We start from the raw sequence: 25,379 nt of genomic DNA, 5'->3' as shown, positions 1-25,379 counted from the left end.
GGCCGTGGGTTTCCCCACTCAGGGGCACGTCAGTTTAACCCCCAGAGCCAAGCTGCCGGCAGTGAGGAACGGAAGACACGGAAAGGATGGAGACGGCCGCCCTCCCCCAATCCCCACCCCCGAGGCTGCACCTGTGGGAAGGGGGACGCTGATGTTTCCCTCTGTGGGGCCTTCTTGGGTCCAGCCTGGACACCGCCCTGTGCATCACAGCTGAAGAGTGAGTCTGCAGCCGACTTGAGTGTCCCTGGGGGGCAAGTTGTTGCGGCAGCCCTGGGACCCCACCCCAAAGGTGCTCGCAGGCCCTCTAGGGCGTTCCCGGGATGAGATCAGCCATTCTCCTCGGGAGGGCTACAGCAGCCCTGAGTAACACCAGGCTCTAGCTGGGATTAGGAGATAAGCTTGCTGGGGCTTGGCGGGTGGCCACACAACGGGTAGGTGGGCGGGGAGGGACGGTGTGGGTGGAGGCTTGGCTCAGGTATCTGCAAGCGTTATCTGTGTCTGCGAGGGAGAGAGAGAAGGAAGGGAGGCTATAAATAGAAACCTTTCCAGGCGAGGAACAGGTGAATAAGCAGAAGGCAGGCATGTGTCCTCTGAAATCTACACTCCCGGCGTGGTGGTGCCAGGCCATGCTTGCAGGAGAGGCGGGCACCTTCTTCCAGGGGCACCTCCACCTGTCCTTCCACTCCCCCTCACCAAGTGGCAGACAAGCTGGAGTGTGGCTGGGTCCCAATCCCACTGTGTCCTAACCTCTCACAGCCTTGGTCTTCTTTTTTGTTTTTTTTTAATTTTTTGAGACAGGGTCTTGCTCTGTTGTCCAGACTGGAGTGCAGTGGGGTCATCATAGCTCACAGCAGCCTCCACCTCCTGGAGGCTACTGCAACAAGCAATCCTCCCTCCTCAGCGTCCTGAGTAGCTGGGACTGAAGATGGGTGTTGCCACGCCTGGCTAATTAAAATAATTTTTTTTTTTTTTTTTGTAGAGACGGGGTCTCATGTTGTTTTTCAGGCTGGTCTCAAACTCCTGGGCTCAAGCAGTCCTCTTGTCTCAGCCTCCCACAGTGCTGGGATTACAGGCGTGAGCTGCTGAGCCCAGACTCACAGCCTAGTTTTTTTTCATTGGCAAAGTGGGGCTGATACTAGCCCAGCTTTTCACACCCTGGACGTGTGATGTGGGACGTGGGATGCTGGTGTGGCACGGCCCTCCTCCCTGCTGTCTGTCCCTCAGAGCTTCCATGGACTCACCACCCCCCACCTTCTCCACCCCCGGCCCACAGGGGGCAAAGGCCACCCAGCTCTGAGGTGGAAGCCCTGCTGGGGAGGCAGGCCGGCGGCACAGCCAGGGACACCCTGTGTGCACGCCAGCCCAGAGACGGCCCCACCTGGCCCCCAACGTTATGAAATGTCCATGTCAAAAGAGACCCAGACACTGGACACAGCGGCTCCCAGCTTTTTATGACCCTGAGGGCTCTACAGGACCACAAAGGAGGGAAACGGATTGCCCAGGTCACACGTGCAGCTGTTGCAGAATTCACGTGATTCACCGGTTTTATTAAACTTCCCATAACCATGTCTGACCCCCTGGGAATTCCAGAATTCCAGGCCAAGTCCTCCGTCCCCCAAAAAACAGCTTTCTGGAGGCACTGGACAAACTCCTAAAGGGCTGACTCCAGTGGGGGAAGCCTTCGGAGACTGCAGCCCATCCAGAAAGGACCACTGTCTCCAGGCCACCGGTCCCGGGCCTGTTCCAGAGCCGCCAGTAGGGCTGGTCACTAGGGTCAGCTTCGTTTCGCCTGGGCTCTCCCCATCAATCCTGTCCTGTGAGTTTGCAGAAGGGATGGGGAGGCGAGGCCAGGCCGCAGAGTGAGCGTCATTCTCCGCAGCAAGGGTTCTCCAAGGACCGCGCTCGGCCGACGCTTCCACATTCTGTGGAAGAGATTCTCGCTCGGTTTCCACACAGCTTTGAACTCTGCCCTTCACTCACGGCGAGTGGGTGGCCAGGCCCGACGGGTCGGTGTGTGACTCGGCGGCGCGCACGCCAGAGAATTCCCGTGGGGAGGACACCGGCGGCCACGCGCTCCCCGCCCCGTCCCGCCCGCGCACCTGTCCTGGGCGTGTTGCCCGAGACCCCGCCTCGCCCTCAGTTCCGCCCCCGTGGCCCCGCCCCACTCGCGCCGGGCGCTGGTTGGCGGAGGCGGCGCGCTATGCTAATGAGCCTGACCCCTTCAAGCGCCGGCGGACGCAGCAGTCCGGACCCAGGCGCGCCCCTCCCGCCCCAGCCCACCCCGGCCTGCCGCCCGGGAGGGGAACATGCCGCGCTCCTTCCTGGTGAAAACGCACTCCAGCCACAGGGTCCCCAACTACCGGCGGCTGGAGACGCAGAGAGGTACTGACTACCCGATCCCCGAGCCCCTGCCGGGACTCGACCCTGAGGGGCGGGAGAGAGAGAGAGGCCCCTGGGAGCGGGGGCTGGGGAGACACCTGTCCCAGGTGGGAGGAGAAGGAGCCAGCGCCTCTGCGCAGCGGCTGCGGCTGCAGGGAGGGAGGTGGCCCACGGGCGCCTCCACTTCAGGGCACTGAGCCCCGCCTCCGGCAGGGCGGGCGGGATTCTCTCCCAACTTGGAGAAGTTTTCTAAGTTTTCTAAGCCCCCAAGTCTCCCTGGAACTCACCCCTGATATACAGCCGCCCGTCCCAACCACTACAGCCCCAGCTAAAGGCACCCTGGAGTCATCTTCCTGGCGCACACGTTTGGGAGGGGTCGCGGGGTGGTGGGTGGGAGGGAAGGAGGGCCGTCTGGGGCGGCCCGGCTCAGGGACCCCCGGAGCATGCTGACTGGGGGTGTAAGCACAGGGGATGGTGAGAAGGACACATGGGCTCTTTCTGGTGCAAAGGCACTGCCCCTCCTGCATTCAGTTCAGGTGAGCCTCCGCCCGTGGTCTCCCTCCCTCCCCCACCTCCCTTCACCCCAGAAGCCCTCCTGCTCACCCCGGCAGGCTTGCCTGGGCAGGCTGGGCTAAAGGGCTGCAATCCTCCACACACCGGCTAGGCTGGGGAGATGGGTGCCCAGCAACCGGGCTGCCCGTTCATTCCCACTGCCTGCTAGGCTTAGGGACACGAGAGAAGAGGACTCTGTCCTTCAGAGGACAGCCTGCCACACGGGCGGTGAGAGCAGTCCCCACCTGGCTTGGCAGCTTCTTGGGACAAAGGCCCACTGAGGGGCGCCGGCGGACGCGGTGGTCGGGACTCACGCTCTGTGGCCGGTGGGGGAGAGCAGGAAGGGCGCTGTTGGGGCTGTGGCCCCCAGCAACACCGCCAAGAGGCCTTTATCCCAGCTCAGAACCCAGAGTTGGGGATGGGGGGGATCCCACCTGGACCCACACCCGAGGCCCGGGCTGCCACCAGGGGGTGCCAGCTAGGACCATGCTTTTCAAATGTGCATTTTGAAATCAGTTTCATCAGTCACCCCCAGCAATTTTGTAAAATAAAATAGAGCAGAAACTGCCGGAGTGCCTGGCTCATGGTGAAGGACACTGGCTTCTGTTATGTGTATGTGGATGCGCATGTGACTACACATGTGTGCGGAATTTACATGGGTAATAGTTGCAAGTTTCAAAGTGTTGCTTAGGGTCCATCCCAGTGTGCAAATCTGGGTAGCTGTGCTGGGCCCAGTGGGCAACTGTCGTGAGTAGCCGTGCTGCCCCGCAGTGCTCTCTGCTCCCCGCCCCCGCTCCCCTCCTCACTGTAGCCCCAGCTGCCTGGCTTTCTGACAGCCAGGGGGCCCTGGCAACTTTCTGCCAAGATGTTACCCCAGGATAGACCTGAGGTGCTGGGATTTGGGGCCCCTCAATCTCTCCTTTTAAATAAATGGCTCCTATGGCTCCCCAGGGAACCCCTGAAGCCAGCAAGGTACTTAAACAGTCTCTTCAGCTGGGTGTGGCGGCTCATGCCTGTAATCTCAGCACTTTGGGAGGTCGAGGACGGCAGATCACTTGAGGTCAGGAGTTCGAAACCAGCCAACATGGCGAAACCCCGTCCCTACTAAAAATACAGAAGTTACCCCGGTGTGCTGGCGGGTGCCTATAATCCCAGATACTCAGGAGGCTGAGGTAGGAGAATCACTTGAACCCGGGAGATGGAGGTTGCAGTGAGCCACGATCGCGCCCCTGCACTCCAACCTGGGCGACAGAGCGAGACTCTGTCTCAAAACAAAACAAAACAAAACAGTGTCTTCTCCCCAGGATCTGGACCGCAGCATGAATAAAAAGGCAAGCAAAACCCAGAGAGTATGGGGAAAGCATTTAAAATCCCAGCAGAAACACATGGTCAGCCTGACGGGGCGAGACTGTCTCTTGCCCCGTCCTGCCTCTGGGCTCAGCCACTGGGCCCACAAACAGGGTCCTGGCTCTGTGACAATACCTGGAGGCAGAAAGGTGGCCATGTCTTAGAGATGGAAAAAAGAAATGGTGACTTTTTCCTGCAGAGAGGCCCCAGCAAAGCCGGGAAACCTGGGGCTCCCCCAGTGCTGTCTCCCCAGAACTCTCTTGGACGCTGCCTCTTAGCCTGTCATTGCCGTCACTTCTGGGTGGACAGAAACCTGATGACTCTGTAATTAGGAAAACTGAGGGTGGGAGGAGGTCAGGTCAGGAGAGAGTGGCAGATGGGAGGCGTTCCTTTGAATCCCCTATTCCTCCTCATCCTCACAGCACTGGTTATTGTCAATTTTTTTCAGTTCTACTGGGTGTGAGCATCTCATTGTGATTGCGATTTGGGCTTCCCTGATGGCATTGAGCATCTTTGCATGTGTTCATTGGCCATTTGTGTATCGTCTTTGGAGAAATAGTTATTCAGATCCCTTGCCCAGGCCGGGCGCAGTGGCTCACACTTGTAATCCAGCACTTTGGGAGGCTGAGGTGGGCAGATCCCTTGAGGCCAGGAGTTTGAGACGAGTCTGGCCAATGTGGCAAAAACCCGCGTCTACTAAACATACAAAAATTAGCTGGGCATGGTGGCAGGTGTCTGTAATCCCAGCTATCAGGAGGCTGAGGCAGGAGAATTGTTTGAACCTGGGAGGCGGAGGTTGCAGTGAGCTGAGATCACGCCATTGCACTCCAGCCTGGGCGACAAGAGTGAGACTCCAGCTCAAAAAAAAAAAAAAAAAAAAAGGCCAGGCGCAGTGGCTTATGCCTGTAATCCCAGTACTTTGGGAGGCTGATGCAGGCGGATCACAAGGTCAAGAGTTCGAGACCAGCCTGGCCAACATGGTAAAACCCTGTCTCTACTAAGAATACAAAAATAAGCCAGGCGTGGTGGCGCATGCCTGTAATCCCAGCTACTTGGGAGGCTGAGGCAGGAGAATTGCTTGAACCAGGGAGGCAGAGGTTGCAATGAGCCCAGATCGTGCCATCGCACTCCAGCCTGGGTGACAGAGCGAGACTCCATCTGGGGGAAAAAAAAAATTAGCCAGGCATGGTGGCGCACACCTGTAGTCCCAGCTACTTGGGAGTCTGAGGCAGGAAAATCATTTGGACCTGGGAGGTGGAGGTTGCAGGTTGCAGTGAGCCGATTTCACGCCACTGCACTCCAGCCTGGGAGACAGAGCAAGACTCTGTCTCAAAAAAAAAAAAAAAAAAAGGGTGGGGGGCCAGGTGCGGTGGCTCACGCCTGTGATCCCAGCACTTTGGGAGGCCAAGGAGGGTGGATCACGAGGTCAGGAGATCGAGACCATTCTGGCTAACACAGTGAAATCCTGTCTCTACAAAAAAAATACAAAAAAATTAGCCGGGCGTGGTGGCAGGCGCCTGTACTCCCAGCTACGCAGGAGGCTGAGGCAGGAGAATCGCTTGAACCCAGGAGGTGGAGGTTACAGTGAACCGAGATCACGCCACTGCACTCCAGCCTGGCAACAGAGCGAGACTCCGTCTCTAAAAAAAAAAAAAAAAAAAAAAAAAAAAAATCCCTTGCCCATATTAAAATTGTATTATTTGTCTTTTTATTGTCGACTTGCTAACATCCTTTATATGTTCTAGTGTTCTAGATGCTATTCCTGATCAGAAGTCTGATTTGCAAATATTTTCTCCTATTCTATGGGTTGTCTGTCTCTACCCAAAGCCTCAGCATGGAGGTAGAAACAGAGCCAGAGATCCATTTTAACACATATAGAGTAAGAAAGGGATTGAGGGCTGTTGGGAGATTTTGGCTTTGGGGACATACAGAGTTTAACTCTTACCTGCAGACTAACCTGTTTATCTGGGGGCTGCTGCCCTTACATGGATCACCCATGTGGTGTGCAGTGTGCCAGCCCCCAGATAGAGGAAACACCGTCCTGGGGAGGAGCCCAGCCGGGGTAATTCTGAAAGCCCAGGCCAGAGCACCCCAGCCATGTGGCTCAGCTGCATTCAGAGCACAGTAGAGTGGGCACTGGTCAGCGGCCAGGGAGGCTTCTGAGCTCACTGCCTCGTTATCCACAAAAGGAGATGCCCGAGGGGCGACTGTGGGGTGACTGGAGGGTGATTAGTTATGAGTGGGCTGATTTTACACTCAGCCGGCACCTTGCTGCCAAGCGTCTGACTGATGGCTGCTGCATGGGCACCTGGAGGATGCCGGCCCAGGCTGGGACCCCTCCAGAGGTGGGTGGGGCTCATCAGAGGGTCCTGCCCAGCCGAGGCGTAAAGGGCCCTCCTTTACCCACGAGGCCTGTTTCATGTTCCTGAACACAAAGGGTCCCGTCAGATGTTTCTTTGTGTTTAAAGAGGAAGTGAGATTCGCTCTCTAGACCGCGGGGCCTTCTTGTTCTAGATGACTCCACTCCTGGCCACGCTGTCACTTCCCTGCACAGCACCGCCAGCTCCCTTGCAAGCTGGGTCTGCATGCAGGTTCCCGGCTACACCTCCCACGCCAGGCTGCTGATGGGCTGTGACTGGGTCCACGAATCAGAGTTGGAAAACACAAAGTGCTGGGGATTCAGTCTTCATCTTTCTATTCTCTCCCCTCCACCCCTCTAGAAATCAATGGTGCCTGCTCTGCCTGTGGGGGGCTGGTGGTGCCCCTCCTCCCCCGAGACAAGGAGGCCCCTTCTGTGCCCGGTGACCTTCCCCAGCCCTGGGACCGCTCCTCGGCCGTCGCCTGCATCTCCCTGCCCCTCCTGCCACGGATCGAGGAAGCTCTGGGGGCCTCTGGGCTGGACGCCTTGGAAGTCAGCGAGGTCGACCCTCGGGCCAGCCGGGCCGCCATTGTACCCCTCAAAGACAGCCTGAACCACCTCAACCTGCCCCCACTGCTGGTGCTGCCCACACGGTGGTCCCCGACCTTGGGCCCAGACCGGCACGGGGCTCCGGAAAAACTGCTTGGGGCTGAGCGGATGCCCCGAGCCCCGGGCGGCTTTGAGTGCTTCCACTGCCACAAACCCTACCACACGCTGGCCGGGCTGGCCAGGCACCGGCAGCTGCACTGCCACCTGCAGGTGGGGCGTGTCTTCACCTGCAAGTACTGCGACAAGGAGTACACCAGCCTGGGTGCCCTCAAGATGCACATCCGCACTCACACGCTGCCCTGCACCTGCAAGATCTGTGGCAAGGCCTTCTCCAGGCCCTGGTTACTGCAGGGCCATGTCCGCACCCACACAGGTAGGACAGGGTGAAGGTCTGCAAGGACGGTCTGGGCTGGGGGAAGAGGGTGGGCTGCGGGAGTTAGAAAAGGAGGAGGGGTGATTTTATAAACAATAGCATGGGCATTCACATTCAGCTTCTGCCTTTTGACTTATCTGTACAAAGTCCCACAGACCACAGACTAGAGGCCAGAAGTCCAAAATCCAGGTGTCAGCAGGGGCCAGTGCAGGAGCCACGCCTGTAATCCCAGCACTTTGGGAGATTGAGGTGGGAGGATCACTTCAAGCCAGGGGTTCAGGACCAGCCTGGCCAACAAGCAAGACCCCAGTCTCTACTAAAAATCCAAACAGCTGAGTGTGGTGGCACGTGCTGGTAGGCCCAGCTACTTAGGAGGCTGAGGCAGGAGGATCACTTGAGCCCAGGAGGTTGAGGCTGCAGTGAGCTGTGGTCATGCCACTGCACTCCAGCCTGAGCAACAGAGTGAGACCCCAACTCAAAACAAAAAAACAAAACAAAACAAAAAAACCCACCAGGCATGGAGGCTCACGCCTATAATCCCAGCATTTTAGGAGGCAGAGGTGGGTGGATCACCTGAGGTCATGAGTTTGAGACCAGCCTGGCCAACATATGAAACTCTGTCTCTGCTAAAAATACAAAAATTAGCCGGACGTGGCAGTGCACACCTGTAATCCCAGCTATTCAGGAGACTGAGGCAGGAGAATCATTTGAACCCAGGAGGTGGAGGTTGCGGTGAGCCAAGATTGCGCCACTGCCCTCCAGCCTGGTGACAGAGCGAGACTCTGTCTCAAAAAAAAAAAAAAAAAAAAAAAAAAAAATCAAAAACATAATGCCATTAAAGTACAAAAGTGGCCTGCCCTTCCCAAGAGCCGGCCAGCAGCCTCTGCCCGGGCTTTCTGTCAACCTCAGCGTGCAAAGAATAAAAACAGAAAGGAAGAAAGGGCGCCAGGAATAAGCTTCAGTCTCCACATCAGGCCCAAAGGTTCACACTTTTTTTTTTTTTTTTTTGGTCTGAGGCAGGGTCTCACTCTATTGCTCAGGCTGGAGTGCAGTGGTTTGATTGCAGCTCACTGCAGCTTTGACTGCCTGGGTTCAAGTGATTCTCCTGCCTCAGCCTCCTGAGTAGCTGGGTCCACAGACATGCATCACCATGCCCAGCCAATTTTTAAATTATTTGTAGAAACGGGGGTCTCGCTATGTTGCCCAGGCTGGTCTTGAACTTCTGGGCTCAATCCATTTTCTCACCTTGGCCTCCCAAAGTGCTGGGATTACAGGCATGAGCCACTGTGCCCAGCTAGTTCACACTTTTTCTTTTTTTTTTTTTTTTTTTTTGAGACAGAGTCTCACTCTTTTGCCCAGGCCGGACCATAGTGGCTCTATGTCAGCTCACTGCAAGCCCCGCCTCCTGGGTTCATGCCATTCTCCTGCCTCAGCCTCCCGAGTAGCCGGGACTACAGACACCTGCCACCACGCCCAGCTGATTTTTTGTGTTTTTAGTAGAGATGGGGTTTTCACCATGTTAGCCAGGATGGTCTCGATCTCCTGACCTCGTGATCCACCCGCCTCGGCCTCCCAAAGTGCTGGGATTACAGGTGTGAGCCACTGCGCCCGGCCTGCTAGTTCATACTTTTTCTAACTGGAGGTTCCCTACCCCCTAAGTCATGACTTTTGTGACTGGGACCCTCTGAGTCACACCTGGGTGCAGGCCAGAGGGAAGGCCTTTTCCAGGTCTCTGGGAAATCCTTTCTGGTTTTTCTCAACTCTTTGATGACGACACCCCCCACACACCCCCTTTCCGTGCCAAAGGGCCCTGGGGCTTGGTGCCCTCAGCCTGGGAGTGAGGAGTGTGGGGAGGCCCTGCGGGAGGCTGGCCTGGCCAGGAGCATGCCCAGTGTCCCACCAGCAGGAATGCAGGTGCTCTGGGCCCCTCAGGGGCTGCAGGCTGAGGTCTCTCAGGACTCTATGGGGCTACAGGAATGAACAAACGATTCCCAGTCACACTTCCCTTTACAGGTGTTGGGCCAAGGTCCCAGCAGGACTTTGTCCAGATCCCCTGTTGTCCTGATGGGAGGTGGTTCCTAAATTCTGCCTCCTCAAGGTCCACAGCTCTGCCCCTGCCCTGGATTCTGCTGGAGCTGGCCAGACCCCCCCACTTGCCTGTGAGTGGCCAGAAACAGCTGCCAGAGGCCCCCAGTGCTTCTCCCGTCCTCTCCCAGTGGCCAAGGGCCCCGGGAGGGCTACTGCAGCAACACTAGGAGATCTAGCACCTGTGGCTGCCTGTGCTCCTGGGAGGGGCTTCAGGTGATGTGGCGTGCCACCCCGTCCCCACACAGCTCAACCTTGGGTGCTCTGGCTGTGAGCATTTGTGGGGAAGGGATGGGAGTATCCATTGATGGGCAGGGTGGGTGCTTTAGCCTTCACTCCATCTTCCATGGTGTCACTGGCCGCCGCCTTCCTCCCACAGGGGAGAAGCCCTATGCCTGCTCGCACTGCAGCAGGGCCTTTGCCGACCGCTCCAACCTTCGGGCCCATCTGCAAACGCACTCAGACGCCAAGAAGTACCGGTGCCGGCGCTGCACCAAGACCTTCTCCCGCATGTCCCTCCTGGCGCGGCATGAGGAGTCTGGCTGCTGCCCGGGCCCCTGAGAGGCACGTGGTCGGCGCAGGTAGGAGGGATGGTCCTCACCGGGAGAGCTGGCGTCCCTCCTGCCCCCAGAGGAGCCAGGAGTCTGGGAGGGCGGGGCCTGGCCTCACACTTGGTGCGTCCTCCACATCTGCGTCCAATCAGAACCAAAGAAGTCCAGCGGGGGCCACTGGGCCGGAGGACACTCCCCCAGGCATCCCACCGCGCGGAGCCCACTCAGAGGAGACTCCTCTCCCGGGGAAGGCTTTCATCAGAACAAGAGCCATGGTTCCATTTCGACACGGCCAGGTCTCCGGGGCTACCCTTCCAAGAGTCAGAGCCTCGGGGAGGTGGCCGCCAGCATGGGCCGGCACTGCCGCCGGATGGCTGGCAAGGCTGCCTAGTTCCATTGCAGCAGAAATGAACAGTTCTGACTTATAGTGAGCACCGCCCTGTGGCCCTTCCTCAGTAGGCACAACTACCTCTCAGCCAGCCCCCGCCAGCCTTTGGTTTGGGGTCTGGGACGAGCTGCCCCATGTCACACGTCTATGTGCATGTGCACACACACTCAAACATGTACACACACGTGCCCTCCCCACCTCACTAGACTCTCCGGGAGATGGGGCAGGACTGGGAGAGCCCACGATTGGTGATTTGGGTGTGTTGGGATGAGGCGGAGTGCCTGTGGGATTTGTCCCGGTCAGAGCCTCAGGGGGCTGGGGTCTCAGGGCACTCAGCTTCCCAGGCAATAACAGCCGTGGGGTAATAAATGGTCTCTGCACACCTGCATGTTCCGTTCTTCGAAGCTTTGAGTCTTGGCCAATCCCCTGGTTCTGTGGAGGAGGTGGGACTCTGAGAAACTCCCTGAGACAGCAGGATTTGGGGATCGCCTGGGGCCTTTAGCCACCAAGTAGGCAGGAGACTCTGGGTCAGGGCCTGCCACTGTGAAAAACTCTTCTGAGAGGTGGGGACACTGCCAGTGGGTGAGCAGGGGCGCCACTGTGGGCAGAAGCCAGCGCAGGAGTGGGAGAGTGTCCCATGGCACAGAGGAATGGCCAAGAGGCTCCAGCTGGTGCCGGGTAGAGGGCCAAGACCAAGGCCGGGGCAGGCGTTGTGCAGCTGGGGGCAGCGAGTCCTCCCTGCTGCCTGGTCAGAACAGAGGACTCAGGGCTCCTGCTGCAGCCCTCAAGCGCTGCGAGGGTCTGACATGATCACTGCTGTCTTGCAGAGGGTCTGGGCCTCTGTCCACCCATGGTACCTGGGGCATCCGTGAACTGGAATCCCAGACCCTTGCCCTGCCCTGTTGAGACACTGTGCCAAATCGACATGGTTGCCTACACTCAAGACCCCCCTCCCTGGAGTCCTGCTCCCACCATCCAGTGGGGTGGTGGCGTTTCCTTCTTACACGTGGCCTCTTCTCACCGCCGAGCTGTTGGGCGGCCGCCCACTGGGCTGGTCCTCCTCTTCCCAGCATGTCTCAGCCTCTCCAGCTCAACCCCAGGGGCAGCGTCCAGGAAGGAGCAAGGAGGCCCCTCCTAGTCCCTGACACCTTCGCTGATGGGGATGGTGGAAGGGAGGTTTCTGGGAGCGGACACCTGTCCCTCAGGAGGGCTGGGCCGCTGTCAGCTGCCCTGCTTCTGGCTGCAGACAGGAAGACATCATTGTCCTGGTCCTGGAATGGAGCCACGTGGAGAGCGGCAAGCGCTCCCCTTGCTCCCAGAGCCCACTGAGCCTCCCGTCCATCCGTCTGTCCATGAGACTATTCAGGGGGGCTCACAGGGACCACACATGAAGCACCTTGTTGCTCAGCCACTTGGCTGCTCCAGTCCCAACCCGGGCAGTGGGAGCCCCACTCGGGGCAGCCCCGCCTGCAGATCAGCCTGGCTAACACCTGCCAGGTGCTGACGGGCCCTTGGGCAGATGGCTTGACGACACCTGTTTGAAGAGCCTTGGGGACATCCCAGAGGAAGCTTGACCTAGACCTTGGGCTCCGCTGGATCAAGGGTGACCTTGAGTAAACCGGCTCCCCAGAAGAGCTTGGGCTCCAGCCGCTACCAGTCTCCACGTGAGCTGGCGAAGTGAAGACACTGAGAAAGCCTCTCTCACCTTCCTGGACCGGGACCACTGCCTCCCCTACAGGGATTGGCCGTCCCCAGAGAGGGAGGCACCCACTCAGCTGCCATAACAAAGCACCCCAGCCTGAGTGGCCGAAACAACAGAGTTTCATTCTCCCCCAGTCCTGGAGGCTGGAAGTCCCAGATCCAGGTGAAGGCAGGGCTGGTTCCTTCAGAGGCTGTGAGGGCGGGGCTGTTCCAGGCTTTCTTGTGGCTTTGGGAGTCCCGTGGCATCTCCCTGTGTGTGTCTGTTTCTGTCTCTCCTCTTCTTATGAGGATACAGTCATGTTGCCCTGCTCCAGGAGGCCCCCATCTTAACTCATGACATCTGCAAAGCCTCTACTTCCAAATATGGTCACAAGCGGAGGGCCCGAAAATTAGGACTTCAACATACGGAAGCGGGGGGACGCAATTCCACCTAAACAGCCAGTGGAAACATGGGGCTTTGCCAAGAGTTGCCTTGAGGGTCCTTGCACTCAGCGCTGAGGAGAGGGGAGGCCTCACCCTCTTCTTTTGTCCCTCAGTCTACAAAGGATCATGAGGGCCAGGCATGGGAGTTCACTCCTGTAATCCCAGCCCTGTGGGAGGCCAAGGCGGGTGGATCACTTGAGCCCAGGAGTTTGAGACCAGCCTGGGCAACATGGCAAAACTCTGTCTCTACTAAAAATACAAAAGAATGAGCTGGGTATGGTGGCACACCCCTGTAGTCTGAGCTATCCAGGAGGCTGAGGCAGGAGGATTGCTTGTGCCCAGGAGGTGGAGGTTGCAGTGAGCCAAGATCACACCACTGCACTCAGCCTGGGCGACAGACCGAGACCCTGTGTGAAAACAAAAAAACACACACAAAGGATCATGGGGGACAGCTGATCTTAACCGATGGGGTTTACTGGAAGCATCTCTTTCAAAGGTTGCATCCAAGTCACCTTCCCCAATGGCCATAGCTGTTCCCTGACCCATCTCCTCTCCCTCATCCCCATCGGGGCAAAGGCAGGGGACAGGCCAGCACCCGGGTCTTGAGGAGGAGTAGGGCTAGGAGCCTGTCCTCCAGGGCCCCCTCCCTCCCGACTGTCTCCCGGAGCTCTTGCCTCCTCTGCTTCACGGTCAGGCTGCCAGGGGTGAGGGTCTCCACCGGCCTGGAAAAAGGCAAGAGCTCCAACCACGGTTTCTATTAAGTCTCGGCATCTCACAGGAGGGCTTTTTTTGTTTGTTTGTTTGTTTGGTAGCATCCAGATCCCTAAAGGAAGCTATATTGTAAATTGTCTTCTATTTCTGGGTCCCAATATCTAAATGAGGCGATTGCACCTGTTGGGAATGAAGGACAGGAATTTCACAAGCCGAAAATAAAGCTGAATGTTTTCCCTTCTGTCTCAGCCCATGGAAAATGCTCTTATATTTATATCTGGGCGGGCAGGGGCTGGGAGGGAGAGGATGGGTTGGCAGAGAGAGGGGCAGAGGAAAGGCAGGGCACCTGCCAGGGGCCTGGGGTGTAAAGAATGGAGGAGCCACTCCACTTAACGCAGGTCTGGCCCAAGTCAGAGGCAGCGAGGGTGGCCAGCCCCACCCAGGACACCCCCAGCCACTGCCCACCAGCCCTGCCCTTCACTGCTGGCCTCTCCTCCTTGTTCTGCCTGACCATCCCCAGGTTAACCTGGAGCGGTCATTTAAAATCTGGGCTTCTGGAGGCCTATCCAACACCTGCAGCTTGAGCACCAGGAAGGAGGCGTCTCAGCCTTGCTCACAGTCTCCGGGGGCTCGGGGCGGGGAGAGCTCTTCCTCCCAGGACTCAGGCCTTCCTTTCCCCACCCAAATCTTCACTCATCACATCCACTCTCCTCCCTCTTCCAGGGGCAGTGTCAGAGTCTTTCCTCCGGGCGGGAGGCGGGGCAAGGATGGACAGGAGGCTGCAGGACCTGAGCACACTGGAAGCGGGTGTTTCAGTGACGGTCCAGTGATGTCTGGGTGAGGGTGGAAGCCTAGGAAATCCCTGAGGATCCTGGACAAGAGGAAGAGGGTGTCCTGAGCTCTGAAAGGCAGGGGCTGCACCCTCCTCACAGCAGAAAAAGTCCCCTGATGACGTCTTCCCTAATAGCACACGGCAGGCCTCAGACAGGACCCACACCAGGGTGTGCAGGAAGGAAAATTAGTAGGGCCCTGCGTGCCTCTCGCTGTTCTCTGACTCATAGTGTAAAAGCAAAGAAGACGCCTGGCCTCCTGGAAACAGGTGTTGAGGGACAGCGGGCCTCTGGGTGACCGGGTCCCTCTCTCCACTCCCCGTTGATAGAAACTTATCCCGAACGCCAAAAGGCGCTAAGGTTATTGCCTTCATGTCCAAGGGCCCAGAGCATCCTATAAATATCATTTTGGCCCAGAATAATCATGGGGGTTCTCTAGGTGTTTGAAAATAGCCTGCTTGCTACTATCTATATTCAGAGAACCCACTCCTGGCCTCCACTCGCGTGGCTAAGTATAGCTCCCTGGCAGAGTTCAATGGAACAAAAGCTTCCAGGCGTACACGACCTCACGGATGGCAGAACATTCTCGGAGGAGCACCTCAGCTGCCACGACTCAGAGGAGCTCAGAGAGAGGCTGGCACTGACCTGGTCACCTCCCATCTCCCAGTCTTGAGCCGGGTAAATCTGTGGACCTCTCAGCAAACAAGAGGCATTCTTGCCAGACCCAGGAGCAAGGGGCTCTGATGCTAGTTTTGTCCTTCTTGAGGGGTTGAGTTAGTCACAAAGCCTTGGTTTCTTCATCTGTAAAAGAGGGATTGTGCGAACTTCTATGTCAGAATTAAAGAGAACTCCAAGTAAGCCATAGAAAAACCAAAGGCTGGCCGGGCGCAGTGGCTCACGCCTGTAATCCCAGCATTTTGGGAGGTTGAGGTGGATAGATCATCTGAGGCCAGGAGTTCGAGACCAGCCTGGCCAACATGGTGAAACCCTGTTTCTACTACAAATACAAAAATTAGCCAGGCGTGGTGGTGTGCGCCTGCAACCCCAGCTGCTCAGGAGGCTGAGGCAGGAGGATCACTTGAACCTGGGAATCGGAGGTTGCAGTGAGCTGAGATCGCCCCACTGCACTCCAGCCTGAGTGACAGAGCGAGACCCTGCCTTAAAAAACAAAAAGAAAAGAAAAGAAAAAAAAAAACCAAAGACATTTAGGACACCCAAAATAAAACTGCCAACCTAAGGAACACTCTCAGCTTTGACTCCTCTTAGGATCTCTATTTCTGGACGCCAGGTTCTAGTTGCAGCGAGTCTGTCTTCACAGCCACCCCTGGCCCGGCCCACGGCAATGCCTGAGAGCAGCTCAGCACCTGCCCCGGGGTTGGGTAGAGCTGTATCATGCGAATGGGTAAAGGCGGCAGAGTTTCAGACCCAGGGCCCAGCCTAACGGTAGATAGACGCCTCCCATCTTGCCAGGGGTCATGCGCCATCTCTGGGAATCCCAAGGAAATGCAGGGCCACCTTCCCACAGGATGTCAATCAGCACTGCCACCCCAGCTCCTTCCCAGAAACCCCCACCTCAACGCCAAATCTGGGAATCTTAAAGCAGCCCCTTCTCTTCAGCAGCTCCCCTGCTTCTCCCTCCCCTCCCCTCCCCTCCCCTGTGCTTGTTCTCTGAGTGAGGGTGAGCCTGTGATACATCCGCAGGAAGACGCAGATCACTGCAGTGTTGCTTATCCAGCCCCAAATACCAGCTCCTTTTTGCTTCCCCTGGGAACAGGCAGCGGGGAGGCCCAGGAAACTTCAGAAATGAAGCTGAGAGGCGAGAGAAGGTGGGCAGTGAGATCACAGGGCACTTCTCATCCGCACAAGGCCCTTGTGAAACTCAACTGTTTTGCATTGGCAAAAAGAGGGGCTGAGATGGAGACACAGCCCAGCCAGCGGGTCCTGGTCCCGTTGCCGTCCCATCCACCAAGCATCATTTCTGCGGTGCCGTGACAGGGTGTGCCCCCCCACCGCACCCCAGCTGGGCTCTGCCCAGCATGGTGGGGTCTCCCTCGTCTCAGAACAAGTTGTTCTTACAGGTGGTCTGCAGACCCCTTGAGACCCTCTAAGTGGCTTCTGCTGGGCAGAGCTGCTCTCCTGTTTGGCACACGCACCCATGGTGCAAAAGCAGCCATAGCCACGTGAGTGCTGGCACATTCCCCACACACCAGAAAACAATCACAGCTCCGGGATGGCCCTCGTGGTCACAGCTCAGCCCTGGTTCTGGCACATCCCCCACATACCAGAAAACAATCACAGTTTCGGGATGGCCCTCATGGTCACGGCTCAGCCCTGGGTCCACGGCAGCTCGTCGGGATAGCCCTCATGGTCACAGCTCAGCCCTGGGTCCATGGCGGCTCGTCGGGATGGCCCTCGTGGTCACAGCTCAGCCCTGGGTCCACGCCGGCTCGTGTAGAGGGAGCGATGGCAGTGCACGCAGCCCCGCACACACCGAGGTCCACTCTCCGCACAGCCCACGCTCACACGGAGGAAAGATGGCAGCACTGTGAGAACACGGACCTGGGTCTTGGCAGGAATGAGGTGAGCCGGCCACTTCAAGAGGAACAACAGACAGAACTTACTGCCAATGGTAAAACTTACACAGTCTAATGAAAAAGAAAATTTGGAAACTTTCACCTTCCACTAAAAGCCTAACAGCTTCCCATGCTTACTTTCTGAGGGGAAAGTGATTTCCTGATACTGTAAAATGAAGCAGGTCAACATCTGGAAGCCCCGTGTAAGGCAGTGAACCAAAAGCAAGGCTGTCCGAATGACCGATGTAGATGTTAGGAACCCCTGCCTGGGTCAAAGGCCAAAGTGAGACAGACCAGTAGATTCCATGGATACCAGGAGGAAACTCTTACTGACGGGTGGGCCTCAGATTCCATCTTGCAGCTCACCTTGAAGAAAGCCCACTGCTGGAGTTTTGGTGCAGCACCCAAGAACAGCCACCCTGATCTGAAGAGGCCAGGAAAGCATGTTGCCCCTGCAGTTGTGGAGAGCACAGATTCTCTCCAAATGCATCAACCAAACGACATAACGCAGAGGCACCCAGGAGGGTCCAGCTATCCACATCTGCCACACCAGACCTGAAAAAGATTTAGACAAACTTTTCTGTTTTTGCTTTTTTGAGACAGGGTCTTTCTCTGTCACCCAGGCTGGAGTGCAGTGGCACAATCTTGGCTCACTGCATCCTTGACCTCCCAGGCTCAAGGGATCCTCCCACAGCCTCCCAAGTAGCTGACACTACAGGTGCACGCCACCAGGCCCAGCTAATATTTTGCATTTTTCGTAGATACTGGGTCTCATCTTGTTGCCCAGGCTGGTCTCAAACTCCTGAGCTCAAGGATTCTGCTGGCCTCGGCCTCCCAAAATACAAGGATTACAGGTGTGAGCTACACCGTGCCCCTAGTCTAATTTTATTTTCTTCTTCTTCTTGAGACAGGATCAGGCTCTGTTGCTCGGGCTGCCGTGCAGTGGTGCAATCAGGGCTCACTGAAGCCTCAACCTCCTAGGCTCAAGCAATCCTCCTGCTTCAGCCTCGTGAGTAGCTGGGTGTGTGCCACATGCCTGGCTAACTTTTTATAGAGACAGGGTCTCGCAATATTGTCCAGCCTGGTCTTGAACTCCTGAATTCAAGTAATCCTCCTGCCTTGGCCTCCGCAAGTGCTGGGATCACAGATGTGTGCCCCTGTCCCTGGCTGATACTAATTTTTTTTTTTTTTTTGAGACGGAGTCTTGCTCTGTCGCCCAGGCTGGAGTGCAGTGGTGCGATCCCAGTTCACTGCAACCTCCGACTCCTGGGTTTAAGCGATCCTCCTGCCTCAGCCTCCCAAGTATCTAGGACTACAGGCACCCACCACCATGCCCAGCTAATTTTTGTATTTTTAGTAGAGATGGGGTTTCACCATGTTGGCCAGGCTGGTCTCGAACTCCTGACCTCGTGATCCGCCCGCCTCAGCCTCCCAAAGTACTGGGATTACAGGCATGAGCCACCGCACGCACCCAGCTGATACTAATTTCTAATGAGGGTAAATACAGATTTGTTTCTCTTCTCTGGAAAGGGATCTGCTTGTTTGGCAAAAAAATTTAATCCCACTAGTCCCAGGAGGCTTGGGCAATCCCGCCTCTCTGTCCACCCAGGCATCATGAATCAAGCCCCAGATATTCCCACCCAGGAGCACCATGGTGCGGGAAAGCGAGCTGGAAAACTGTGAGGTGGATGCTTGTGTCCCTGAAGGGAAATACTTTCCGAGGTGAGTGGCTCGAACACAAGGACGGCAGGGCTATTTGAGCCACCAGCCCAGCTGGCCAGGTTTCCGGCCACGTGCATGCTTTGCAGCTTTTGGTTTGGAAAACTGGAAGCTACAGAAGAAGCTGTATTTACTCACTGATTTAACCAAATGCACATTGTTTCTTCTGAAAGATGACCACACTCACCCAAGAGCTTCTCTGTGGGTCAATAATAATACTCCCTGCAGATAAACATGGGTGGGCCCCTTCAGAGGGCTGTATCATCTACAAGAAACCATCCTTATCCCCACAGGTGAGGAAACGGGCACAGAGAGGTTAAGTAGCTTGCCTGAAGTCACACAGTGAATCAGTAGCAGAGCTGTTCTTTAAACTCGGGCAATTTAGACCCAGAGTTTGTAATTTTATTTATTTATTTATTTATTTATTTATTTATTTATTTATGATGGAGTCTCATTCTGTTGCCCATGCTGGAGTGCGGTGGTGCGATCTCAGTTCACTGCAACCTCCACCCCCCAGGTTCAAGCGATTCTCCTGCCTCAGTCTCCCAAGTAGCTGGGACTACAGGCACGCACCACCATACCCGGCTAATTTTTGTATTTTTAGTAGAGACGGGGTTTTGCCATGTTGGCCAGGCTGGTCTCGAACTCCTGACTTCAAGTGATCCACACGTCTCGGCCTCCAAAAGTGCTAGGATTACAGGCATGAGCCACTGCACCCAGCCAGAGTCTGTCATTTTTGTCTCTAATTTATATTGTCACTCGGTAAGAAATTCTGAGATTTCCTTTCACTTCTTTTTTTTTGTTTTGTGAGACAGAGTCTTGCTCTCTTGCCCAGGCTGGAGTGTGGTGGTGCGATCTTGGCTTACTGCAACCTCTACCTCTCGGTTCAAGCGATTCTCCTGCCTCAGCCTCCCAAGTAGCTGGGACTACAGGTGCATGTCACCACACCCAGCTGATTTTTGTATTTTTTAGTAGAGAGGGGGGTTTCACCATGTTGGCCAGGCTGGTCTTGAACTCCTGACCTCAAGTGATCCGCCCGCCTCGGCCTCCCAAAGTGCTGAGATTACAGGCGTGAGCCACCGTGACCGGCCCCTTTGACTTTGAAGGCAGAGTAGGGTATCTGATCAGGACCGCAAATATGGTGCTGCTTTTTATAGTGGGGCCAGTGTGTGGGGTGATATGGTGGGAGGAGCTGCAGGAAGACAGCGGATTGAGATCTGGACTCAAGCAGTCCTGTGGGGAAGCCAGGTTTCTCTACTGACTCTTGTGTAGAGGAGAAGACTAGGCGTGGTGGCTCATGCCTGTAATCCCAGCACTTTGGGAGGCCGAGGTGGGAGGATCACTTGAGCCCAGGAGTTTAAGACAAGCCTGGGCAACATAGCAAGACCCTGTTTCTACAAAAAAACAAAAAAATTAAAAAATTGGTTGGGTGTGGTGGCTAAGTCTGTAATCGCAGTACTTCAGGAGGCCAAGGCAAGAGGATTGCTTGAGCATAGGAGGCCAAGTCTGCAGTGAGCCGTGACCTTGCCAGTGCATTCAGTCTGGGCAACAGAGTGAGACCCTGTCTCAAAACAAACAAATGAAAAATAAAAAGTAAGTATCTAACGCAGGAATAGAAAATCAAATACTGCATCTTCTCACTTATAAGTGGGAGCTAAATGATAAGAATTTATGAACACAAGGAAATAACAGACACGGGGGTCCACTTGAGGGGGGAGGGCAGGAGGAGGGAGAGGAGCAGAAAAGATGGGGGGAGGGCAGGAGGAGGGAGAGGAGCAGAAAAGATGGGGGGAGGGCAAGAGGAGGGAGAGGAGCAGAAAAGATGGGGGGAGGGCAGGAGGAGGGAGAGGAGCAGAAAAGATGGGGGGAGGGCAAGAGGAGGGAGAGGAGCAGAAAAGATGGGGGGAGGGCAGGAGGAGGGAGAGGAGCAGAAAAGATAACTATTGGGTACTGGGCTTAGTACCTGAGTGATGAAATAATCTTTACAACAAACTCCCGTGACATGTGTTTATTTATGTAACAAACCTTCACATGTACCCCCAAACCTAAAATAAAAGTTAAAAAAAAGTATCAAATTGTTAACTCCTCTGGAATAAACATTTCCTTGTCTTTTTTTAATTTAAATTATTATTTTTAAAATGCCCATATTCCCTGAGTCCTCGCTTCTTTTTACCTCTCCAATCGCCTGGCTTCATGGTGTTTCACATTTGCTGACTGCTTCCAGAAAAACATTCCCACTGAAGGCCTCCCAATGCAAGGCAGATATAGAGCAAGCTAGACACATGCCTTCCTTTCCAGTTGCTTTCTGACTTTTTAAAGTCCCAGATGCCTGGGCTTGGGGAAAGGACAGGAAGCGCCAGGACGCAGGAAGCCCCGGGGATCAGCAGTAGGATGCTGTGCAGGCTGTGCTCGGGGCCCCTCTGCTGGCCTGTCCAGGCCAAACCCCCAGGGCTGCAGGCCTGGAACCAGGCAGGACATGCTCAGCCCTGGCTGGGCTTCCCCTCCTTGCCCCAACACCAGTCAGGGCCCACCCACGGGCTCCAGCTGTCTGGCTTCCCATTCATCTCCCAGACCCTCTCCCCTCATGAATCAGTGCCACACACAGCCTACCCATACCATACTCAGCAAAGCACCCATGCCTGTGGCTCAGGTGCGGTGGTGTGATCAGAGCTCACTGAAGCTTTGAACTCCTGGGCTCAAGCGATCATCCTGCTTTAGCCTCTCTAGTAGCTGGGAGTACAGGTGTGCACCACTACGGCCAGCTAATTTTGAAAAAATTTTTTTGTAGGCTGGATGCGGTGGCTCATGTCTGTAATCCCAGCACTTTGGGAGGCCTAGGCGGGTGGATCACGAGGTCAGGAGATCGAGACCATGACCATCCTGGCTAACATGGTGAAACCCCGTCTCTACTAAAAATACAAAAAAATTAGCTGGGTGTGGTGGTACACACCTGGAGTCCCAACTACTTGGGAGGCTGAGGCAGGAGAATCACTTGAGCCTGGGAGGCGGAGGTTGCAGTGAGCCTGGGAGGCGGACGTTGCAGTGAGCCTGGGAGGCGGAGGTTGCAGTGAGCCGAGATTGCACCACTGCACTCCAGCCTGGGCAATGGAACAAGACTGTGTCTTAAAAAAAAAAAAAAAAAAAATTTTTTTTTTGTGGATATGGTGGAGTCTCGCTATGTTGCCCAGACTGGTCTTGAACTCCAGGCCTCAAGCAGTCCTCCCAAATCCCAAAGTGCTGCTGGGCTTACAGGCATGGACCACCATGCTTGGCCTATTTTCGACACACATACAGGCTGAGGTTCAGGAGAGCTGGGCTACAGGCGTCAGGGTGGGGATCGATGTGTGACATCTTTCAGGGAGGTAGTTTATCCTAGTTCTCCACTCAATAAGGGAGTCTGCCCACAAGCACACTGTCGGCACCCATTGCTACATGGCTCAACTGTGAGTATAACTTAGATAATTGTAATAATGAAAATAAGGAATGCTGATGGAGGGATAGGATAAGAAGGTATGTGACTGGGAGATGGAAGAGAATTCCTTATTTCTATTGAGTCATAATCAATAGAGGTTATCTAAAACTTAAAAAAATAGGGCCAGGCACAGTGGCTCACGCCTGCAATCGCAGCACTTTGGGAGGCTGAGGCGGGCGGATCACAAGGTCAGGAGATCGAGACCATCCTGGCTAACACAGTGAAACCCCGTCTCTACTAAAAATAACAAAAAAAAGTAGCCGGTCGTGGTGGTGGGCGCCTGTAGTCCCAGCTACTTGGGAGGCTGAGGCAGGAGAATGGCGTGAACGTGGGAGGCGGAGGTTGCAGTGAGCCGAGATCACGCCACTGCACTCCAGCCTGGGTGACAGACCGAGACTCTGTCTCAAAAAAAAAAAAAAAAATAATAATAATAAAAACGCCAGGCATGGTGGCTCACGCCTGTAATCCCAGTGCTTTGGGAGGCCGAGGCAGGCGTATCACTTGAGGCAAGGAGTCTGAGACCAGCCTGGCCAAACATGGCGAAACCCCGTCTCTACTAAAAATACAAAAATTTGCCGGGCCTGCTGGTGCACGCTTGTAATCCCAGCTACTTGGGAGGCTGAGGCATGAGAATCACTTGAAACCAGGAGGCAGAAGTTGCAGTGAGCTATGATTGCCCCCCTGCACTCCAGCCTGGGTGACACAGCGAGACTCTGTCTAAAAAAAAAAAAAAGAGCAGCCTGGGCAACACAGTAAGACCTCCATCTCTACAAAATAAAAAATAAAAATTAGTCAGGAGTGGTGGCACTTATCACAGCTACTTGGGAGGCTGAAGTGGGAGGATCACCTGAGCCCAGGAGGTTGAGGCTGCTGTGAGCTGATGGTGCCATCGCACTCCAGCCTGGACAACAGAGTGAGACCCTGTCTCTAAACAAAAATAAATTGTTTTTTTTTCTACTGGACTTAAACAATCTGCCCTCCTTGGCCTCCCAAAGCACCAAGCCTGTGTCTTCTTTTTCATCACAGCCGTGGCAGAAGGAAGGAGGTGACTGGAAGCCCCACTCTCTCTGAGTAGCTGAGGGAATACACCCTGACTATAGGCCGAGACAGTCCACATCAGCTCTTCAATAGGATTTAGTGGCTTTGCATAAAATGGAAAAGCAGCTGTGATTGCAAGAGAAATTAAAAATAACCACCATCTGAAATGCAAATTGAAAACAGTGAGACAACACATGTCACTCTGGCAGGTGACCCACTGTGCTGGTGAAGGCATGCAGGCACTCTCAGACTTCCGCAGAGAGACCTGAGTAATCAATTGACTTCCACAAAGGGCGACTTGCCAACAGCTATCAAAAGTACTCAGGCACATCCCACTTGGCCCAGCAATTCCACTTCCAGGAATTTCTCCTGCAGAAATACATGTGCACAAACAACGTAGGAAAGCACTGTTTATAGTAACAACCCAACTAGGACAGACCAGGTATATTTAGACAACAAACAAGGAAGCTTTTTACTAAATTGGGATGATCTCTAAGAAGAAGGTACGTAGAAAAAGCAAGGTGGGAGAACACGCTATGTGCTTGTACTATGCACGTCAATGAAAAAATACACAAAGAATTGACAGGCCAGGTGGAGTGGCTCACACCTAATCCCAGTACTTTGGAAGACTGAGATGGGAGGGTTCCCTGAGGCCAGGACTTCAAATCAGCCTGGGCAACATAGCAAGACCCCCCCACATCTCTACAAAAAAATTAAGAAAAAAATTAGCCGGGCATGGTGGTGTGTACCTGTAGTCCCAACTACTGAGGAAACTGAGGTGGGAAGATCCCTTGAGCCAGGAGGTCGAGGCTGCATGGAGCTTTGATCGTACCACTGCCCTCCAGCCTGAGCAACAGAGTGAGAAAAAAAACAGACTTTTTTTCTATTTCTGGAAAAAAATAAAGAATTTATAAGTATGATGGTTCTGGTAATAGAAGTAGGTGGCTAGGCAGAGTGGACACTTCACACTGCATACTCCCCTATTTTCCGAAATCTGAGTTTTTTTTTTTTTTTTTTTTTTTTTTGAGATGGAGTCTTGCTCTGTCACCCTGGCTGGAGTACAGCAGCACCATCTCGGCTCACTGCAACTTCCGCCTCCTGAGTTCAAGCAATTGTCCTGCCTCAGCCTCCCCAGTAGCTGGGATTACAGGCGTGCACCACACGCCCACCTAATTATTGTATTTTTAGTAGAGACAGGGTTTCACCATGTTGGCCAGGCTGGTCTCAAACTCCTGACCTCGTGATCCGCCCACCTCGGCCTCCCAAAGTGCTGGGATTACAGGTGTGAGCCACCATGCCCAGCCAATCTGAGCTATTTAAAAACTAAAGGTAAAATTTTAAAAGGGGAAGGGGAAAATGGGAAGTCATTGTTTTAAGGGGACAGAGTTTCTGTTTGGGGTGAGAAAACTCTAGAAATAGTGGGGGCGTGGCACATGATTGGAATGAATGGCAGGGAACGGCACGCTTAAATGTTCCTGTACGTTTCACAGGAGAAGTCAATGCACACACAAGCGCCGCAACCCAGTCCAAGGCTTTGCTCCTACAGGGCCTTACAGGGGGTATTTGAGACGCCCACCTTAATGCAGGTTGGACCCAGCTCCGGGCTGCGGGGCTTCCCCGCCCCGGGGTCTTTCGTGTGAGCCCCGTGGCGGGGGATCCTGGCCCAGGACATGGCGCGGAGAAGGCTGTGGGCGGCGGGACAGGGTGCCTTCGGCTGCCGGGTTAAGAGTGGATCCCGGGATACATCCTCCAGCGCCTGCCCTCGGGCCTGTGTGCACCCCCATACCCAGCGGGGCCGTCCAAGAGCTTCAAGGAGGGCACAGCGCGACCCGCCCTCCCCTCAGCCCCGCACACCGTCCCACGGCCCCGCACAGCCTCCCTCCCACACAGCGCCCCACGGCACCCGCACAGCGCCCCACGGCCCCTTCATGGTCCCCGCACAGCGCCTCACAACCCGCACACAGCGCCTCACGGACCCTTTACGGCCCCCGCAGAGTCTCCCACACGGCGCCCCACACAGAGCCTCACGGACCCCGCACAGCGCCTCAAGGTCTCCGCACAGCCCCCAGCACAGCGCCTCACACAGCCCTTCGCACAGCCCCCCGCACAGCTCCTCACGGGCCCCACACAGCTGCCGCACAGCCCCGCACAAGCCCGCACAGCACCAGCAGACAGGTAGCCCCCACAGGCAACAGCGCCCACCTCGCCGCGCCCAGACCCCGGATCGCCGACGCGGACGCCAGGCGCCTGGGCACACGGCGCCTGCGCA

At 55.5% G+C, this 25,379-nt stretch overlaps 1 protein-coding gene and 1 long non-coding RNA gene across 3 annotated transcripts, besides 12 other annotated features; one reads left to right on the top strand and one right to left on the bottom strand.

Annotated features, from left to right (window-relative positions):
- Window positions 1-1,526: 1,526 nt before the first annotated feature.
- Window positions 1,527-25,340, bottom strand: SNAI3-AS1 (SNAI3 antisense RNA 1). 2 transcript variants are annotated; one of them, NR_024399.1, is made up of 4 exons: window positions 25,313-25,340; window positions 17,248-17,436; window positions 16,591-16,900; window positions 1,527-1,922 (listed from the first exon to the last, which is right to left on the bottom strand). It is a non-coding gene; the product is annotated as an SNAI3 antisense RNA 1 (long non-coding RNA). The 2 variants fall into 2 exon arrangements; NR_024402.2 differs by lacking the exon at window positions 1,527-1,922 and adding an exon at window positions 13,207-15,109.
- Window positions 1,926-2,385: a silencer, noted in NCBI's record as "silent region_7868". NCBI's record gives its function as "represses an Ori minimal core promoter by ATAC-STARR-seq in GM12878 lymphoblastoid cells {active_cell/tissue: GM12878}" and the evidence as "EXISTENCE:reporter gene assay evidence [ECO:0000049][PMID:35858748]".
- SNAI3 (snail family transcriptional repressor 3) lies at window positions 2,206-11,025 on the top strand. The gene is made up of 3 exons (NM_178310.4): window positions 2,206-2,382; window positions 6,999-7,619; window positions 10,084-11,025. Exons 1-3 carry the CDS (start codon window positions 2,307-2,309, stop codon window positions 10,263-10,265), a joined length of 879 nt encoding a protein of 292 aa, NP_840101.1. The 5' UTR covers window positions 2,206-2,306; the 3' UTR covers window positions 10,266-11,025.
- Window positions 2,436-2,595: a silencer, noted in NCBI's record as "silent region_7867". NCBI's record gives its function as "represses an Ori minimal core promoter by ATAC-STARR-seq in GM12878 lymphoblastoid cells {active_cell/tissue: GM12878}" and the evidence as "EXISTENCE:reporter gene assay evidence [ECO:0000049][PMID:35858748]".
- Window positions 6,054-6,313: an enhancer, noted in NCBI's record as "active region_11365". NCBI's record gives its function as "activates an Ori minimal core promoter by ATAC-STARR-seq in GM12878 lymphoblastoid cells {active_cell/tissue: GM12878}" and the evidence as "EXISTENCE:reporter gene assay evidence [ECO:0000049][PMID:35858748]".
- Window positions 6,564-6,853: an enhancer, noted in NCBI's record as "active region_11364". NCBI's record gives its function as "activates an Ori minimal core promoter by ATAC-STARR-seq in GM12878 lymphoblastoid cells {active_cell/tissue: GM12878}" and the evidence as "EXISTENCE:reporter gene assay evidence [ECO:0000049][PMID:35858748]".
- Window positions 6,868-7,689: an enhancer, noted in NCBI's record as "H3K27ac-H3K4me1 hESC enhancer chr16:88747432-88748253 (GRCh37/hg19 assembly coordinates)". NCBI's record gives its function as "activates a minimal SCP1, AML or CMV promoter by ChIP-STARR-seq in naive H9 embryonic stem cells {active_cell/tissue: H9 hESC(naive)}" and the evidence as "EXISTENCE:reporter gene assay evidence [ECO:0000049][PMID:30033119]".
- Window positions 6,868-7,733: a biological region, named in NCBI's record as "H3K27ac-H3K4me1 hESC enhancer GRCh37_chr16:88747432-88748253".
- Window positions 7,044-7,223: an enhancer, noted in NCBI's record as "active region_11363". NCBI's record gives its function as "activates an Ori minimal core promoter by ATAC-STARR-seq in GM12878 lymphoblastoid cells {active_cell/tissue: GM12878}" and the evidence as "EXISTENCE:reporter gene assay evidence [ECO:0000049][PMID:35858748]".
- Window positions 7,614-7,733: an enhancer, noted in NCBI's record as "active region_11362". NCBI's record gives its function as "activates an Ori minimal core promoter by ATAC-STARR-seq in GM12878 lymphoblastoid cells {active_cell/tissue: GM12878}" and the evidence as "EXISTENCE:reporter gene assay evidence [ECO:0000049][PMID:35858748]".
- Window positions 9,667-10,422: an enhancer, noted in NCBI's record as "H3K4me1 hESC enhancer chr16:88744699-88745454 (GRCh37/hg19 assembly coordinates)". NCBI's record gives its function as "activates a minimal SCP1, AML or CMV promoter by ChIP-STARR-seq in primed H9 embryonic stem cells {active_cell/tissue: H9 hESC(primed)}" and the evidence as "EXISTENCE:reporter gene assay evidence [ECO:0000049][PMID:30033119]".
- Window positions 10,423-11,180: an enhancer, noted in NCBI's record as "H3K4me1 hESC enhancer chr16:88743941-88744698 (GRCh37/hg19 assembly coordinates)". NCBI's record gives its function as "activates a minimal SCP1, AML or CMV promoter by ChIP-STARR-seq in primed H9 embryonic stem cells {active_cell/tissue: H9 hESC(primed)}" and the evidence as "EXISTENCE:reporter gene assay evidence [ECO:0000049][PMID:30033119]".
- Window positions 24,958-25,117: a silencer, noted in NCBI's record as "silent region_7866". NCBI's record gives its function as "represses an Ori minimal core promoter by ATAC-STARR-seq in GM12878 lymphoblastoid cells {active_cell/tissue: GM12878}" and the evidence as "EXISTENCE:reporter gene assay evidence [ECO:0000049][PMID:35858748]".
- Window positions 25,328-25,377: an enhancer, noted in NCBI's record as "active region_11361". NCBI's record gives its function as "activates an Ori minimal core promoter by ATAC-STARR-seq in GM12878 lymphoblastoid cells {active_cell/tissue: GM12878}" and the evidence as "EXISTENCE:reporter gene assay evidence [ECO:0000049][PMID:35858748]".

Source organism: Homo sapiens, chromosome 16, assembly GCF_000001405.40.
Source record: "Homo sapiens chromosome 16, GRCh38.p14 Primary Assembly".
Classification (NCBI taxonomy): Eukaryota; Metazoa; Chordata; class Mammalia; order Primates; family Hominidae; genus Homo; species Homo sapiens.
This window is presented reverse-complemented; position numbering and strand designations above follow the sequence as displayed.

What these genes read in the sequence shown, in the direction of transcription:
- SNAI3 (NM_178310.4), top strand. Translation starts at nt 2,307, where the DNA reads ATGCCGCGCTCCTTCCTGGTGAAAACGCACTCCAGCCACAGGGTCCCC. An exon ending in GCGGCTGGAGACGCAGAGAG is followed by an intron (nt 2,383 to 6,998) that starts GTACTGACTACC and finishes CCACCCCTCTAG; the next exon opens with AAATCAATGGTGCCTGCTCT. An exon ending in CCATGTCCGCACCCACACAG is followed by an intron (nt 7,620 to 10,083) that starts GTAGGACAGGGT and finishes TTCCTCCCACAG; the next exon opens with GGGAGAAGCCCTATGCCTGC.